Source organism: Homo sapiens, chromosome 9 (assembly GCF_000001405.40).
Source record: "Homo sapiens chromosome 9, GRCh38.p14 Primary Assembly".
NCBI classification, from domain to species: domain Eukaryota; kingdom Metazoa; phylum Chordata; class Mammalia; order Primates; family Hominidae; genus Homo; species Homo sapiens.
In genome coordinates this window covers 96614363-96630612 of record NC_000009.12, presented here as the reverse complement: position 1 = coordinate 96630612, position 16250 = coordinate 96614363, and the positions used below count along the sequence as shown (strand labels likewise).

At 46.6% G+C, this 16250-nt stretch overlaps 1 protein-coding gene across 14 annotated transcripts in view, besides 1 other annotated feature; it reads left to right on the top strand.

Moving 5' to 3' along the window:
* The first annotated feature begins 10769 nt into the window (after positions 1-10769).
* The window catches only part of CDC14B (cell division cycle 14B), a 128905-nt gene continuing 123424 nt past the window's right edge, over positions 10770-16250 (top strand). For 12 of the 14 annotated variants that reach the window (NR_147239.2, XM_047423999.1, XM_017015248.3 and 9 more), the window contains exon 1: positions 10770-11394. Coding sequence is in view for 10 of the 14 variants with exons in the window: in XM_047423999.1 (XP_047279955.1) it covers positions 11235-11394 (160 nt within the window). In the remaining 4 variants the exon portion in view is untranslated. Of the gene's footprint in view, positions 11395-11668; positions 12399-16250 lie in introns of those variants that run through there. The other 2 variants (XM_011519156.4, XM_017015245.2) reach the window with 1 other exon arrangement.
* Positions 11119-11619: an enhancer, noted in NCBI's record as "H3K27ac hESC enhancer chr9:99381276-99381776 (GRCh37/hg19 assembly coordinates)". NCBI's record gives its function as "activates a minimal SCP1, AML or CMV promoter by ChIP-STARR-seq in naive and primed H9 embryonic stem cells {active_cell/tissue: H9 hESC(naive and primed)}" and the evidence as "EXISTENCE:reporter gene assay evidence [ECO:0000049][PMID:30033119]".

The window sequence follows — 16250 nt, the reverse complement described above, 5'->3', positions numbered from 1 at the left end:
GGAAAGAAAAAAAAAAAGTTATTTTGGCAGCTAGATTTAAGTCAGATGCATGACTTTTTCATATAATGTGTATTTATTCATTTACTTATTTATTTTAAAGACAGGGGTCTCCCTCTGTTGCCCAGGACAGAGTGAAGTGACACAATCATAGCCTTGAACTCCTGGACTCAAGCAATCTGAAGGCTCAAGCCTTTTGAACTGCAGCCTTGAACTTCTGGGCTCAAGCAATCTTCCCACGTCAGCCTACCAAGCTGCTGGGACTATAGGTGTGTACTACCACACCCAGATTTTTTTTTTTTTTTTGAGACAGAGTCTCGCTCTGTCACCCAGGCTGGAGTGCAGTGGTGTGATCTTGACTCAACGGAACCTCCGCCTCCTGGGTTCAGCTAATTTTGTATTTTTAATAGAGATGTGTTTTCCCCATGTTGGCCAGGCTGGTCTTGAACTCCTGATCTCAGGTGGTCTGCCCACCTCGGCATCCCGATAGAGTCTCACTCTGTGGCCCAGGCTGGGGTGCAGTGAGGTGATCATGGCTCACTGTAGCCTCAACCTCCAGGGCTCAAGCGTTCCTCCCACGTCAGCCTCCCAAGGAGCTGAGACTACAGGTGGACACCACCATGCTGGGCTAATTTTTAAAATTTTTTTGTAGAGATGGGGTTTTGCTATGTTGCCCAGGTTGGTCTCAAATTCCTGGGCTCAAACGATCTTCCAACCTCAACCTCCCAAAAGGTATGTAATATTTAATAACGCACAAACTAAAATAATTAATATATAAATGTGAAAACAAATTGCCTTTCTTTAAGTATTGTTAAATATTCATTTGCTTCTATTTCTAGAAGCTGACTGCCTATATAAGGGGCCATTTCAGCCTTCTTCATTTTTTTTATTTTATATAGCCCCTAACTTTGGATAAAATAATTCACTGCTCATTTGAATCTGCATTTAAAAATGGAAAGAGGAACTTAATAGAGAATCCAACCTAATCTGCCCAAATGTATGCTCTGGTATCACTGAAGAGAAAAAAAAAATCATGAATAGAGAAAAACTTCCCACCATATGAGAATGCAAAACTATAGATCTGTGCATTTTGGTCATTCCTGATCTCCTTTTTCCTAAGGAGAACTCTGGTTGAGTGGGAACCCAGTGCGCTAGGATTTCATCACATTCGGAAGAATTTGTAACAAAAAGAAAAATCACCCGATATTTTAGAATTGGTTGCTGGTTCTCTTCCAAAACCAGAAAAGTCATTGCAAGAAGTTTTCTTTCCAGCCACAACAGGAGATAAAAAATAAATTGCCTTCACCCTTCCACAACTACAGAAGTGACTTGAAATTGATGCCTTTAATTCACTTCTAATTGTGTGGATAAGGGGAGAGTCAGACAAGGATGTCTTTCTTGTCCTGCAATGATTGGAAAGAAAACCGTGTAGAGGATAAAGGAGGCTGTTAGCTACCTCGGATTACCTGATGATCTCCATTGATTATGACTGTGAAGCAGGCTCTCTGCTGTCTTTCCCATTCCCCTGAGGGAGGAGACCTGGGGGGTGAGCCTGGCAGCGGGGGCCAAAGGCAGGGACAACTTGGATTTGTAGCAAATGTTGCAGAGCCCAAGAGAGAACAGCCAAGTTCTGTCTGAAGAAGAGGACCGAGACTCCAGCCAGCAGAGCCTGTCCAACTTGGTCAGAGTAAGCAAGCCAGAGGTGTTTCCGGAGCCGAGGTCTGGTGCCAAACAGGTGTCAGAGACTTGACAGCGGCGAAAGAGATGGAGAGATGTAAGAGAGAGGGAGAGATGCCAGAGAGATGGAGAGCGGCAAGAGAGATGGAGAGCGGTGAGAGAGATGGAGAGATGCGAGACAGTCGGAGAGACATGAGAGAGATGGAGAGATGTGAGAGAGATGGAGAGCAGTGAGAGAGATGGAGAGCAGTGAGAGCAACAAGAAGAGAGGATGCAGCAAGAGATAGTCAGGAGAGAGGGCTGACCAGGAAACCATCCTTAGCTTTGCAAGGATGGCTTTTTTTTTTAAAAGTCCTGTTGCTCCTATATCTTCTTTTTGGACGGTGGTTATACAGGTGTATATATTTTTAAAACTCATTGAACTAACACTGAAGATCTTTGCTTTTGCATGTTAATTATACCTCCTTTTTTTTTTTTTTTGAGACGGAGTCTCGCTCTGTTGCCTAGGCTGGAGTGCAGTGGTGTGATCTCAGCTCACTGCAATCTCCACCTCCCGGGTTCAAGCGATTCTCCTGCCTCAGCCTCCCAAGTAGATGGAATTACAGGCGCAGACCACCACGCCCGGTTAATTTTTTGTATCTTTAGTAGAGACGAGGTTTCATCATATTGGCCAGGCTGGTCTTGATCTCCTGACCTCGTGATCCGCCCGCCTCGACCTCCCAAAGTGTTGGGATTACAGGTGTGAGCCACTGTGCCTAGCCAAATTTTTGTAATTTTAGTAGACGGGTTTTCACCATGTTGGCCAGGAACTCCTGGCCTCACGTGATCCACAGCCTCTGCCTCCCAAAGTGCTGGGATTACAGGCATGAGCCTCCGCACCCAGACTGTTATACCTCTTTATGGTTTTTTTTTTTTTTTTTTTTTGAGACCGAGTCTCGCTCTGTTGCCCAGGCTGGAGTGCAGTGGCCCGATCTCAGCTCACTGCAACCTCCGCCTCCCAGGTTCAAGCAATTCTCCTGCCTCACCCTCCCGTGTAGCTGGGACTACAGGTGCCGGCCACCACGCATGGCTAATTTTTGTATTTTTAGTAGAGATGGAGTTTCACCATGTTGGTCAGGCTGGTCTCGAACGCCCAACCTCAGGTGATCCGCCTGCCTCAGCCTCCCAAAGTGCTGGGATTACAGGCATGAGCCACAGCGCTTGGCTTGCTGGGATTACAGGCGTGAGCCACCACGCCCAGCTTCTGTTTATCTATCACAAGTCCCCTCACCCACTTGGACAAATTTTTTTCCATGACATTTACTTGTTAAAGAGACAGTTTATAGAAAATCCCACATTCAAGATTTGTCAGATTGTTTCCTTATGAGTCATTTAACATGTTCTTCCACCCCCTATATTTCCTGTAAACCGAAGTTAGATCTCAAGGCTTGATTCAATTCAGGATAAACATTTTGGATAGAACACTACTTTATAGGTAATCCAGGGTATATCATGTTGCCTTGCATCAGGAAGCATCATACCTCTCTCTCTTTTTTTTTTCTTTTAGACTGAGTCTCGCTCTGTTCCCCAGGCTGGAGTGCAGTAGTGCAATCTCAGCTCACTACAACCTCCGCCTCCCAGGTTCAAGCGATTCTCTTGCCTCAGCCTCTGGAGTCACTGGTACTATAGGCACACAACACCATGCCTGGATAATTTTTGTATTTTTTGTAGAGAAGGGGTTTCACCATGTGGCCCAGGCTGGTCCGAACTCCTGTCCTCAAGCGATCCACCCTCCTCGGCCTCCCCAAGTGTTGGGACTACAGGTGTGAACCACCACTGCACCATCCAGGAAGCATAATATCATGCTGACTCACTCTAATGAGGCAAAGTTTGACGTCTAGTGTAAGGTGGTGATAGCCATATTTTGAGTATTGTTGGAAAAGAAAAATATTAAAATACAATATATATCATTCCTAGAAGCCTTAAAAATTGGTAAAATGTATTTGACATTAAAATAGATAAAACTGGCTAGGCTCGGTTGCTCATGCCTGTAATCCCAGCACTTTGGGAGGCCAAGGGAGGAAGACTGCCTGAGCTCAGGAGTTCAAGACCAGCTTGGGTAACATAGTGAAACCTCATCTCTACAAAAAATTAAAATAAAAAAAAATAGCGGGGTGTGGTGGCATGGGCCTATAGTCCCAGCTACTTCAGGAGGCTGAGGCAGGAGGGCCACTTAAGTCCAGGAGGTCCAGGCTACAGTGAGCCATGATTGTACCACTGCACTCCAGCCTGGGTGATGGAGCAAGACCCTGCCTCAAAAAAGCAAAGCAAAGCAAAACAAAACCATAAAACTTCTGTAAACCAACGTGAATAGAGCAGCAAGACAAAGAGTAGATATGCAGGCATCATCTGCAAAGGGTGAAGGGGCGATATCCATAATATATAAAAAGCTGCCACACATCTACAAAAATAAAATCAAATGCAGCCGGGTGTGGTGGCTCACGCCTGTAATCCCAGCACTTTGGGAGGCCGAGGCGGGCAGATCACCTGAGGTCGGGAGTTGGAGAAAAAACTCGAAAAAAAGAAAGCAAATACAAAACAGGCAAAGGACATGAATTAAAAATTCTTAGAAAAAATACTGCAAACATCTAATGAGAACTTTATAATATGCTCAACTTCACCAGTGATCAGGAAAATACAATGAAACTAATAGTGAGACTTTTTAATTCTTAAACTTAAAAAACACGTTGTATCCAGTGATTTCAGGGATGTGGGAAAATGGGATTCCTTTTTATTTTGTTTTGTTCTGAGATAGGGTCTTGCTCTGGAGTGCAGTTGGGTAATTATAGCTCACTGCAGTCTCGACCTCCAGGGCCCAAGCTATTTTCCTACCTCAGCCACCCGGGTAGCTGGGACTGCAGGTGCACACGGCCACACCCAGCTAATTTTTTTCTTTTTTGTTGAGACAAGGTCTTCCTATTTTGCCCAGGCTGGTCTGGTACTCCTGGGCTCAACCCATCCTCCCACTTTGGCTTCCCAAAGTGCTGGGATTACAGGTGTGAGCCACTGCACCCAATCAGCTCAGCTATCCTTAAATATTGTTGGTATCAATGAAAAATTAAAAAGTGAGTATCTTTGATTCAGCAATTCCACCTCCTGTGGATTGCCATATGTTAGGGTATTCATTGCAGGTACATAACAGCACTTTTCCTCCCAGCCCCCATGCAACTTAACCATCCATCCACAGGAAAAGAAATGATGGAAAAGATACAAGGGAAACTTTGCAGCCATTAGCATGAATGAGGCTGGTCAAAAGGACTGAAAAGGAAAATTTTCAAGATCCAGTATTAACAAATCTGGAAAAAAAATGCAGTATTATGTGAAAAAAAGCAGCTCATAGAACAATATGCCCAGTATGAACCATTTTATTTTTAAAAATCTGTTTTTTTTTGTGTGTGTTTTTTTTTTTTTGAGATAGAGTCTTGCTCTGCCACCCAGGCTGTAGTGCACTGGGGCGATCTTGGCTCATTGCAACCTCTGCCTCCCAGGTTCAATAGATTCTCCTGCCTCGGCCTCCCGAGTAGTTGGGATTACAGGCACCCACCACCACACCTGGATAACTTTTGTATGTTTAATAGAGACGGGGTTTCGCCATGTTGGTCAGGCTGGTCTCAAATTCCCGACCTCAAGTGATCCGCCCGCCTCGGCCTCCCAAAGTGCTGGGATTACAGGAATGAGCCACCATGCCCGGCCCCAAAATCTGTTTTTATCTAAACACAGATCATTAGCAGCAGTTATCTATGAGCATAGGAGGATTGGGGTAGGAAGGTAAAGGAGAACTTTTAAAATAAACATATATATATGTTTTTTACTTAAATTTTTTAAAAATATAATCACATGTTCATGTATTATTGTGGGACAAAACCAAAGAGAAAAAAATTCCTTACGTACAAATCTTTGAAGTAAAATTACAAAATAAGACCTAGATTTAAGAAGTGAAGTCCGGGCGTGGTGGCTCAGCTTGTAATCCCAGCACTTTGAGAGGCTGAGGCGGGCGGATCACCTGAGGTCGGGAGTCTGAGACCAGCCTGGTCAACATGGTGAAACCCCGTCTCTACTAAAAATACAAAAAATCAGCCAGGCATGGTGGTGTGTGCCTGTAGTCCCAGCTACTCGGGAAGCTGAGGTCGGAGAATGGCTTGAACCTGGGAGGCGGAGGTTGCAGTGAGCCGAGATCGCACCACAGCACTCCAGCCTGGGTGACAGAGCGAGACCCTGTCCCCCCCTCAAAAAAAGAAAAAGAGAAGCGAATAGTGAGGAGGGTGAATAGAGAGGAGGCAGCATTCAGTAGCACCGGTGGAAGCATTTAGCCAAGACAGCATGAACTTGTGGAGTATTGTTTCCCATTTCTCCCATATTATTAAATTCAACTCTAGAGACATACTGACTACCTGACAGTATGTAGAATGCATGTCAGCATCTTTCTTTTTCTTTTTTTTCTTTTTTCTTTTTTTTTTTTGACACAGAATCTCGCTGGAGTGCAATGGCGCGATCTCTGCTCACTCCAACCTCTGCCTCCCGGGTTCAAGCGATTCTCCTGTCTCGGCCTCCCGAGTAGCTGGGACTACAGTCACGTGCCACCACGCCCCGCTAATTTATCAGCGTCTTTTAAAAGTAACGCAAGCTGGGCGTGGTGGCTCATGAGATCGTGCCACTGCACTCCAGCCTGAGGGACAGAGTAAGACTCCATCTCAAAAAAAAAAAAAAAAAAAAGGTAATTCTTGAGGAAGATTTGGGTATCATTCAGTCCCTTGAGGCTCAGACCTCTGTGGCTTTCAGGTAAAGGCATCTTCAGTCATACTCTGAACACAAGACTTAAAATAACCAGAATTCTCATCGTCCCCTACCCCTGCCCCCTGGCATTTCATTATTATTATTTATTTTATTTACAGTCATGTACCACAAAGCAATGTTTTATTCAACAGACCACATACAGGACAGTGGTCCCATAAGGTTTTAATACCATATTTTTGCTGTAACTTTTCTATGTTTAGATGATGTTTAGATACATGAATACTTACCAGTTACAGTCACCTACAGTATTCAGTATAGTAACATGCTGTACCTGTTTGTAGCCTAGGAGAAATTGGCTCTACCATACAGCCTAGGTATGTAGTAGACCATACCATCTAGGTTTGTGTAAGTACACTCTACAATATTTGTACAATGATGAAATAACCTAATGACACATTTCTTAGAAGCATCCCCATCGTTAAGTGATGCATGATTGTAGTTATTTTTTAAAGCAGGAGTGTATATAACCAAAAAACAAATCAACCGCAGAAATATTGTTTTAAAAACCTACAATATTACGGTGTGGTCTGAGATCCAAAGGCGTTCATCCAAGTTTCTGACATTTTACACAACTATACAGGTTATTTAATTTCAGAAGCCCACCTGCAAGGCAGGATCCCTTTAGATCCTGCTCTTGTCAATGAAGAATGATGCCAGCCCCTCAGTACTCGAGCCACGTGTGGTTCTGTATCCTGGGTTTCCAAACCAAACTCATTTAGTGACCTAGGGTAACTGCCATGACCTCTCAAATGAGAATACCACGGAACAGGGCATGAGTATGAAGCCCCTAGCATGTCTAGTATTTGCTGGTAGCTCAACAAACATTCATTCCTTCCATTTTTATGGTTCTAAAAGATTTTCATCTTAAGGGGCATGAACATGGCAGACTTCAGATTAATGTTGGGATTGCCAGGATAGCCAATGAAACAAAACCAACTCTTTTTTTGTTTGTTTGTTTGTTTGAGACGGAGTCTTGCTCTGTGGCCCAGGATGGAGGGCAGTGGCGTGATCTTGGCTCACTGCAACCTCCGCTTCCCAGGTTGGAGCAATTCTCCTGCCTCAGCCTCCCAAGTAGCTGGGATTACAGGCACGTGTCACCACGCCCAGCTTATTTTTGTATTTTTAATAGAGACAGGGTTTCCCCATGTTGACCAGGCTGGTCTTGAACTCCTGACCTCAGGTGATCTGCCCGCCTCAGCCTCCCAAAGTGCGGGGATTACAGATGTGAGCCACCACGCCCGGCCAAAACCAACTCTTTTTATATATGAAAGTGAAGACTTCAGTGTGTGCCCGTTTTCCCATATGACTGCCACCTAAGCCCTCTAGTTTTATGGAAATTTAACCTCTTATGGAACGTACCATATTTATCAAATTTAACTTTTTATGAAATTAACCAACTTATGGAAATTGACTTTGTACAACTTATTTATCTTCACATAATTAAAATTGTAATTCACGGATTCTGAAACTTACATTATTTGAAATTCATATCACGTCTCTATCAACCAGTTGCTACTGATTTTAGCGTAAGATTTCACATTTTCAGAATATGCTCTATCTGGAATATACATATAAGAAAATGTTCCGCCGGGCGCGGTGGCTCATGCCTGTAATCCCAGCACTTTGGGAGGCCGAGGAGGGCGGATCACAAGGTAGGAGATCGAAACTATCCTGGCTAACACGGTGAAACCTCGTCTCTACTAAAAATACAAAAAATTAGCCGGGCGTGGTGGCAGGCGCCTGTAGTCCCAGCTACTTGGGAGGCTGAGGCAGGAGAATGGCGTGAACCCGGGAGGCGGAGCTTGCAGTGAGCCGAGATCGCGCCACTGCACTCCAGTCTGGGCGACAGAGCGAGACTTCGTCTCAAAAAAAAGAAAAGAAAAGAAAAAAAAAGAAAATGTTCCACAGTTGTTTTCATTTCAGGGTAAATTTACCTAGGAAAGATAGGAATATTTTAGAGAATCCCTCCTTTTTTTTTTTTTTTTCCTTTTCATTGTGCTGCCATAATGTTGAGAATCAACCAGACGCATCTGTTCCCTAAGCGCCACAGTTCAGGAAAAGACAAGCCAGATCCTAGAGAGTTTTGGTTCCCACCCCAGCCTGGCCACTGCCACTCATCTGGGTCCCCGTGTCCTCACTGTGAAAGGATAGCCTTGGACCAAATATTGTCTAAGGAGCTTTCAAGCTCTAAAATTCTATGATGAGTCGTCAAGCAATGAACAACAAACTAACCAGGGAAGCAAACTAAAATACATTTCCTGTGGCCAAATTCTCAGAGCCCAGGAGTCAACTTATCAAAGAGGGGGAGGAGTCAAACAGTTCAAGAGCAGTGCCACACACACAAAACAAGTATCAGCTAGGAAACAGCACTTTTCTGCCTCTATCTAAACATGACCTAAAAACAAAATATAAATAGGGTTTAAAACTTTAATGTGTATACTCAGCACACAGACTTCCTATTCACAAGAAGGGAAGATACTTTCGCGTAATTACAAAGTGTAGTCCTATACTTTGTCTGTTCCTACTATACAAAGCATAAAATTATATACTTGCAAAGTATGAAAATATTTAAATGGTATAATTATCTGTATTTATGACACTTTTTTTTTTTTTTTTCTGAGACGGAGTCTAGCTCTGTCACCCAGGCTGGAGTGCAATGGCACGATCTCGGCTCACTGCAACCTCTGCCTCCTGACATTTAAACAAATTACTCTCAAAAGATCATAATGTCATGGAGGTAGTTTCTCTGTACTTCCAGGGAGCCACACGGACCACTCTCCTGTAATATCTATTCAAAACAAGACCCACTCATTTAAAATCCCTGGTAGTCTGGGAAACTGGGTGGCTTTCCAATGCTGAGCCCCTAGGCCGGTCTGAAAGGTCTCCTCCTCCTCCTCCAGGTCAAAACAAAGGACTGTGACCCTACCGTTTCTGCTCTCTAAAACTTACTTGCGCAGCGCCGCACAGCCTCCCACGTCTCTAGCTTCTTTGCTGCCCCTACAGACAGACATGTAGATCATTTTAAATTTAAGGCCTTCACTGATTTCCTTAGGGGAAACAGAGGAAGAGTGAACAGGAGAACCAACCTTAAGAAAAAGTGCTTACAGAGTTGCTGATCTCTAGCTTCAGACACAGCCCCCCTACTTCCTTATTTAGCCGTGCTTAAGGTAAAAGCCCACAACAATAGAAGTCAAAGAGCCCCTTCCTGAGGTGCTCTATGAAAATTTGCATTTCTGAGAGGCTTCCAAGGGGACTGACTCAAATTCATCTTTCTTTTCCCCAGGCTGGCAGTTAACTGCGGAACTGCAGGATAAAACGTTCAAGTGCTGGTGAAAAATAGGGACAGCTTGCAGATGTTGTAAAATTTGGGGCCGTGAAATCTTAACACTGCCCTCCAATCTTCTCACCCTTTTAGATGCTACCATGGACGTTTGTTTAAAGGCCCTCCAAAATGACAGTTTTTGGTTAAGTTCCAGGAAGATAGGGCATTATTTTAATCCAGTAGAAAAAGAAGAGGATATGACCCTACAGTGTGCCAGATAAAGAAGTTTAAGGACAAAACTTGCCCCTTGCTTCAATACTTCATGATATAATCGGACCTGTCGACACCTCAGTATACACAGCAATGAGTGTATAAACTTACTGAATTAATGTGGGCGCTGGATTCCGAGATGAGAAACTCTGAGGTGCAAACAACCACGGTATATTGTGGTTCCACGGAAGTTTCATCGGGTCCTTAAGAAGCCCTTGCTTGGCCTGTTTGAATGCTGGGCATAGGTCGATAAATAGAGCGTAGTTGTTTAAATAGTTTTACTTAAGTTCTGAAATCAACTCTACTTTAAATCTATATAGCTGCAGGTAATGTAATCAGGCCATCCTCTTCCAAGCTGGCAGCCATGGCAAAAGTCCCTTTCTCTTGGCGCGAATTACAAGGAAATTCAAGAAATACTTTAAGATATATATATGCCAAAGACCTGGAGTTAAGTTACTAGGGTGGGGCTGTGTAAATGTTTGGTGACTCACTAAAGAAAGTTGGGATCTGGGGTGCTGGCACCTGGAGGACACAGAAGAAACAAAAGTTGGGGGGCTGGCGAAGGTCGCTAGCACACTTTATCTCTGATTGGCGGAAGCCCTCAGAGTTTTCTTTATGGCGTCACCGAGTACCTGCCTGTAGAAAGGCCCCGTCTCCGTGACGTCACGCCGCATTGGCCAATGAAAGGCCTCAGTCTGCGGGCCCCGAGGAGGGTTGTGGGCCCTTTTTTGTGAATGAAGCGCCACGGAACAGCCCTCCTGGGGTCCCCACGAGCCGCGTCCTGCTGTGCCCCGGCGCCTACGCAGCAGCGGCCGCGGCCGCGGTGGGCACGCACGGTTACCCCGGGCAGCTCCGGCCGCCAGCTGCAGCCCCGTCGCCTCGGCCGCGCCAGCCGGCTGCGGGCACCTGGGGGCGGGCTGGGGGCGCCGGCCGCGGCAGGAGGCGCTGTAGCGAGGGCTGCGGCGCCGGTCCTGCGGCGGCCGCGGGAGGCAGCGGGGCAGGCGCTGTGGGCCGGGCTCCTCCTCCGGCTCCTGCGCGACCGCCTCCCGCCGGGCTCTGCCGGCGCCCGCCGTCCCCGCAGCGCCGCTCTGCGCCCGCCGCCCCGAGCGCCCGCGCGGGGCTGGCGGGAGCCTCGGCGGGCGCGCGGGCGCGCGGGGCCATGGTCGTGGCCCCCTGACGGGCCGCGGCCGCCTCCATGAAGCGGAAAAGCGAGCGGCGGTCGAGCTGGGCCGCCGCGCCCCCCTGCTCGCGGCGCTGCTCGTCGACCTCGCCGGGTGTGAAGAAGATCCGCAGCTCCACGCAGCAAGACCCGCGCCGCCGGGACCCCCAGGACGACGTGTACCTGGACATCACCGGTGAGCCGGCCAGTGGGCGCGCGGAGGGCCCCGGACGGCCGCACCCGGCGCGGGGCCCTGGCCCACCTCCCACCGGGCTGCCCGGGGCCTCCGGGGCCGGGCCGAAATGCCTTCGCCCCCACCCCCTTAAACGCCCCGGCCGCCACACCCCCTTTAGGAGCCTGGCTCCTGAGGAGCGCCCCCCGCCCCGAGTTTCTAGCTGCGTGGGCTGCGAGCTTTAACTTTAGCTTGTGCACCCTCCTCCACCAGCAAGATGGACCGAGGGTCACCTTTCTAAGTTGCGGGCGTCAGCCCGGCGCCTCGAACCTGCAGCTCCTCCCCGCGGGCTGCTTCTGAGTTCCTGTGGATTCCGCCTTCAGGGATTGCGAGCCCGGTTGGCCCTCGCGCGAGTCACAACCTCTGAATCAGCCCCTGAGGATTCCCCGAGCGCGCTGAACGCGCCTGGCACGGGAGCTGCCCCTTTTTGGCGTTGGCCAAACCCCCGCTGCTCCGTAGCCTTGGGACCCTGGGCGCCGCGTTGCCCGTCCGGCGCGTAAGCCCGAGCCCCTCTCCTGGGCCTCCCGCGCCCTGCCCCCTAGCGCGCCCCCCGAACGCCTCCGCCTCCCGGGGTCCGCTCCCCGCCGGGGCCTCGAGAAGGAAGGTGTCACGTTGGTGGCATTCGAGCCAGCCGGCAAGACGAATGTCCGGGTTGTCACTTTTGAGAAATCCCAGCCAGCCAGAGCAGGTAGCCAAGCAGCCCTTCGATAGCTGTTCTGTTAGTGCTGATTCGACTGTTCTTGGAGACTCATAAATCCAATTTGGCAGCTGTTAGGTTTGCTGGGATTGACAGTGACGCGTGTGAAGGCATTAAATGTGATGATGTATGTGGCAACGCTGTGTAAACAGCAGAGCTGTCCACGATTTTGAGGGAATTGGCAGTCTGTTTTCAGTGGCGGGGAATGTGTCAACCTCGGTGCGTGGCGTTATTAAAAACTGTTTCCAGCCCCTAGCCTTTGATAAACCAGGTAAGCTGGAGTGGCGAGAACATTAAGTGGAAGTGTTTAGACAAACACAGACGTTTAGGAGAAATAATATTCTAGGTTCATGGACAATCTGGAAACTAAGTTCGTTTTGAAATGAAGCTGAGAGCAGAGCGGGTTTCTCGGCTTTGGTGGATGGCCCTTGGGAACCAGAGCGGGCATAGGAAGGGGTTGCCCTGAGTACCAGTCCCCGGCCGGTAGCTGCGGGGGGTGTGCGGGAGGTGAAGCCTGCTGAGACTGAGAAGCCAAGTCCCGCTAACGTTGTGCCCTTCCCAGGAGAGGGCCTCGCCGAGGACGGATGGGGCTGGGAACGGGTGGGCCTATACATAGTTTCTGCCCGTTATTGTTTATACCTCTTGAAAGGATCTGTGTTGAATGGGATTTAATTTTAGGACAAGTAATGCATTTACATGGTACAGAACTCCAATTCTAAAGGTGCACAGGAGTACGTGCAGAAAAGTTGGTCTCACAGTCTCCAAGTGTCCTTCTCTAGAGGCAACTACTCTTCCCAGTTTCTTGTGAAGCCTTCTAGAAATAGGCTGTGCATGCATACTATATATACTATATATTCTCTACCATACACGTGCGAGTAGCACACATGTTGTTTTGCACATTTTTCCGTTTTCATAGTGTTTCTTATTAGAATGATTGTTCTGAGTTGGTGCATATAAGACTGGCTTACTTGATTTTAATTACTGCTTAGGCCAATGTACATACGGTTTTATGAATAAAACCATTAACAAGTACGTATGGATTTAAATGTTTATGTAGATTTGAATGTTTTTTAACCTATTTAGACAGTCCCTGTTGATGAACATTTGGGTTTTCAATCAGAAGGTTTGTGACAGCAAAGTCATTGGAATAAATCTTTCTTCTTGATGGAGATGAAATATGTGGCTAGTCTTCGTGAGGCAGTCACCAATTAATCAACTTCAGAAAAATAGAACCAAGCAGAATACTGAGGAGGGGTGCGTTACAGGAAATAAAAATGCTATCAGAGGGCAACCCGCTCTGGTCCCCTTCCACGCTGCGGAAGCTTTGTTCTTTTGCTCTTCACAATAAATCTTGCTGCTGCTAAAAAAAAAAAAAAATCCTATCAGATTGCAAGCCCTAATAACGGAAGGGTCCAGCTTTAATGTAAGGGAGCTCCAGGGGAGTAAAGGTTATAGTCACCTTTCCCTGTGACTTCTCTAGGTGTCCCTCAGTGATAGTCTTGGCTTCCTGGAAAAATGATACTTAATCAGTCTGTTGCAGTGTGATATACAAGGCCAATTAAAGTATCTTCAGATACAGAGTTCAGATTACTTTTTATTGGGCTTTTGGGGGAAGGCTTGAGGCCTGTCCTCAGCAAGTGGCAAACTGGTCCCTTCCTTCTCAACGTGTTTTTCCCTCCATTATTGTTTTCTTAATTTAAAAAGCAGTGCATGCACACTTCTAAAAAGTCAAACATTATCAAATGAGTTTTTTTTTTTTTTTGAGACAGAGTCTCGCTCTGTTGCCCAGGCTGGTGTGCAGTGGCTCAATCTCGGCTCACTGCAACCTCTGCCTCCCGGGTTCAAGGGATTCTCCTGCCTCAGCCTCCCAAGTAGCTGGGAATACAGGCGCCCGCCACCATGCCTGGCTAATTTTTGTATTTTTAGTAGAGACAGTGTTTCACCATGTTGTCCAGGCTAGTCTCAAACTCCTGACCTTGTGATCCGCCCGCCTTGGTCTCCCAAGGTGCTGGGATTACAGGCGTGAGCCTTCACCCAGCCTATCAAATGAGTTTTATGGAGTCTTCCTCCCTTGGTAATGTTTTTCCTCCTTCAATTTTCTGTGCACATTCAAGTTTCTGGAAATTGTGCCATACCAGCAAGATTAGTTCTCTTTTTTTTTGAGACGGAGTCTTGCTCTGTTGCCCGGGTTGAGTGCGGTGGAGCTATCTCGGCTCACCACAACCTCTGCCTCCCGGGTTCAAGCAATTCTCCTGCCTCAGCTTCCTGAGTAGTTGGAACTACAGGCATACGCCACCATGCCCGGCTAATTTTTGTAATTTTAGTAGAGATGGGGTTTCACTATGTTGGCCAGGCTGGTCTGGAACTCCTGACTTCGTGATCCCCCCCAGCCTAGATCTCCCAAAGTGCTGGGGTTACAGGCGTGAGCCACCGCCCGCAGCTGATTAGTTATCTTTTGATGGCTGCATTATATGGCCAAATCATGATTTATTTAGTAGTAATAAATAGCTGGTTATTTGGGGGTTTTCCAGTCCCTATTGCAAATGGCTGCAGTAGCATCAATGTATGTGTCTGTTTATATGTGTGACTATATCTATAGAGTGTATTTCTAGAGGTGAAAACGCCAGGCCAGAGTACATATGGACTTTATCCATTCCTCAGTGGACTTTTTGGCTATTAGGAATAATGCTGCTGTGAACATTCATATACAGGTTGTTGCATGGACATGTTTTCAGTATAACACCCAGGAGTAGAATGGCAGGATCACATGGTATCTCCACGTTTAATGTTTTAAGGAACTGTCAGACTCTTTTTCCGAATGGCTACGCCGCCAGCGTTCCCACAAGCAATGCACCAATTATTCCACATCCTTGCCAGCACTTAATATTGGATTGACAAGATTCTTTCACAGTGGAGTAGGTTTGTAAAAATTAATGCATATTGTCACTTCTGTCCACCCTGCCCTTAAATACATCATTTTTTAACTTAGTCCCTTGACATTTTTATTGCAGCCTATTTAATCTGTAAATTGAATTCCCATAGATCCCAGGATACTTCGTGTGTGTGTATTTAATATAGGATGCTTAATCCCTATTTTTGTTCCTGTCATCATTTGTTATATAATCACTATTGTTTAGTATCTAGCCACCCACACCACTATACTGGGCATTTACTCTTACTAGGAGCAGACTAAGGGGTTTAACTCTCATTCCAACCCCATCCACCTCTCACGGAGCCATTCATTCACCTCTTGCCATGTGCAATGACACGGATTTTTTTACTTGAACTATACTGCTAGTTCAGTTTCAGTCCACCATGAAAACAAAAGGTCATAAAGACAGTGTAGGCCGGGCACAGTGTCTCACGTCTGTAATCCCAGCACTTGGGGAGGCTGAGGTGGGTGGATAACCTGAGGTCAGGAGTTCGAGCCCAGCCTGGCCAACATGGTGAAACCCCTTCTCTACTAAAAATTCAAAAATTAACTGGGCATGGTGGCACGTGCCTATAGTCCCAGCTACTTGGGAGGCTGAGGCAGAAGAATCTCTTGAACCAGGGAGATGGAAGTTGCAGTGAGCTGAGATTGCGCCACTGCATTCCAGCCTGGGTGACAGAGTGAGACTCCACCTCAAAAAACAAAACAAAACAGGCGGTGTAAACTGTAAGCATTAAAGCTAAAAAGATGCTGGGTACAGATCAGAATGAGCTGTTACTAGTCTAGGAAACTGGAGGAAGTGGGGAGGTTGAGGAGGGTTTTCAAGGAAAAAATACTAGATTTTTCTATGAACCTCCTTAATGTCAGAGGTCTGAATCTTTATCTCTATTTTCCCATCCCTTAAATAGGGACCTCCATTCATGGCAGTGTACTTTCTCCTTTCCTCAGGAAAAAAAAATTTAAAGACTCTAACACTACTGCATATATCTATGTTTGATAATTTATAAGATGTAATAGTTGTTGCAGAGCTTTGATTTATTTTACTATTTTTATTTTTAAAATTTCTGATTAGGCTGGGAGCAGTGACTCATGCCTGTAATCTCAGCACTTTGGGAGGCCAAGGCGGGCAGATCGCTTGAGCCCAGGAGTTCAAGACCAGCCTGGCCAATATGGCAAAACCCCTACTCCGGA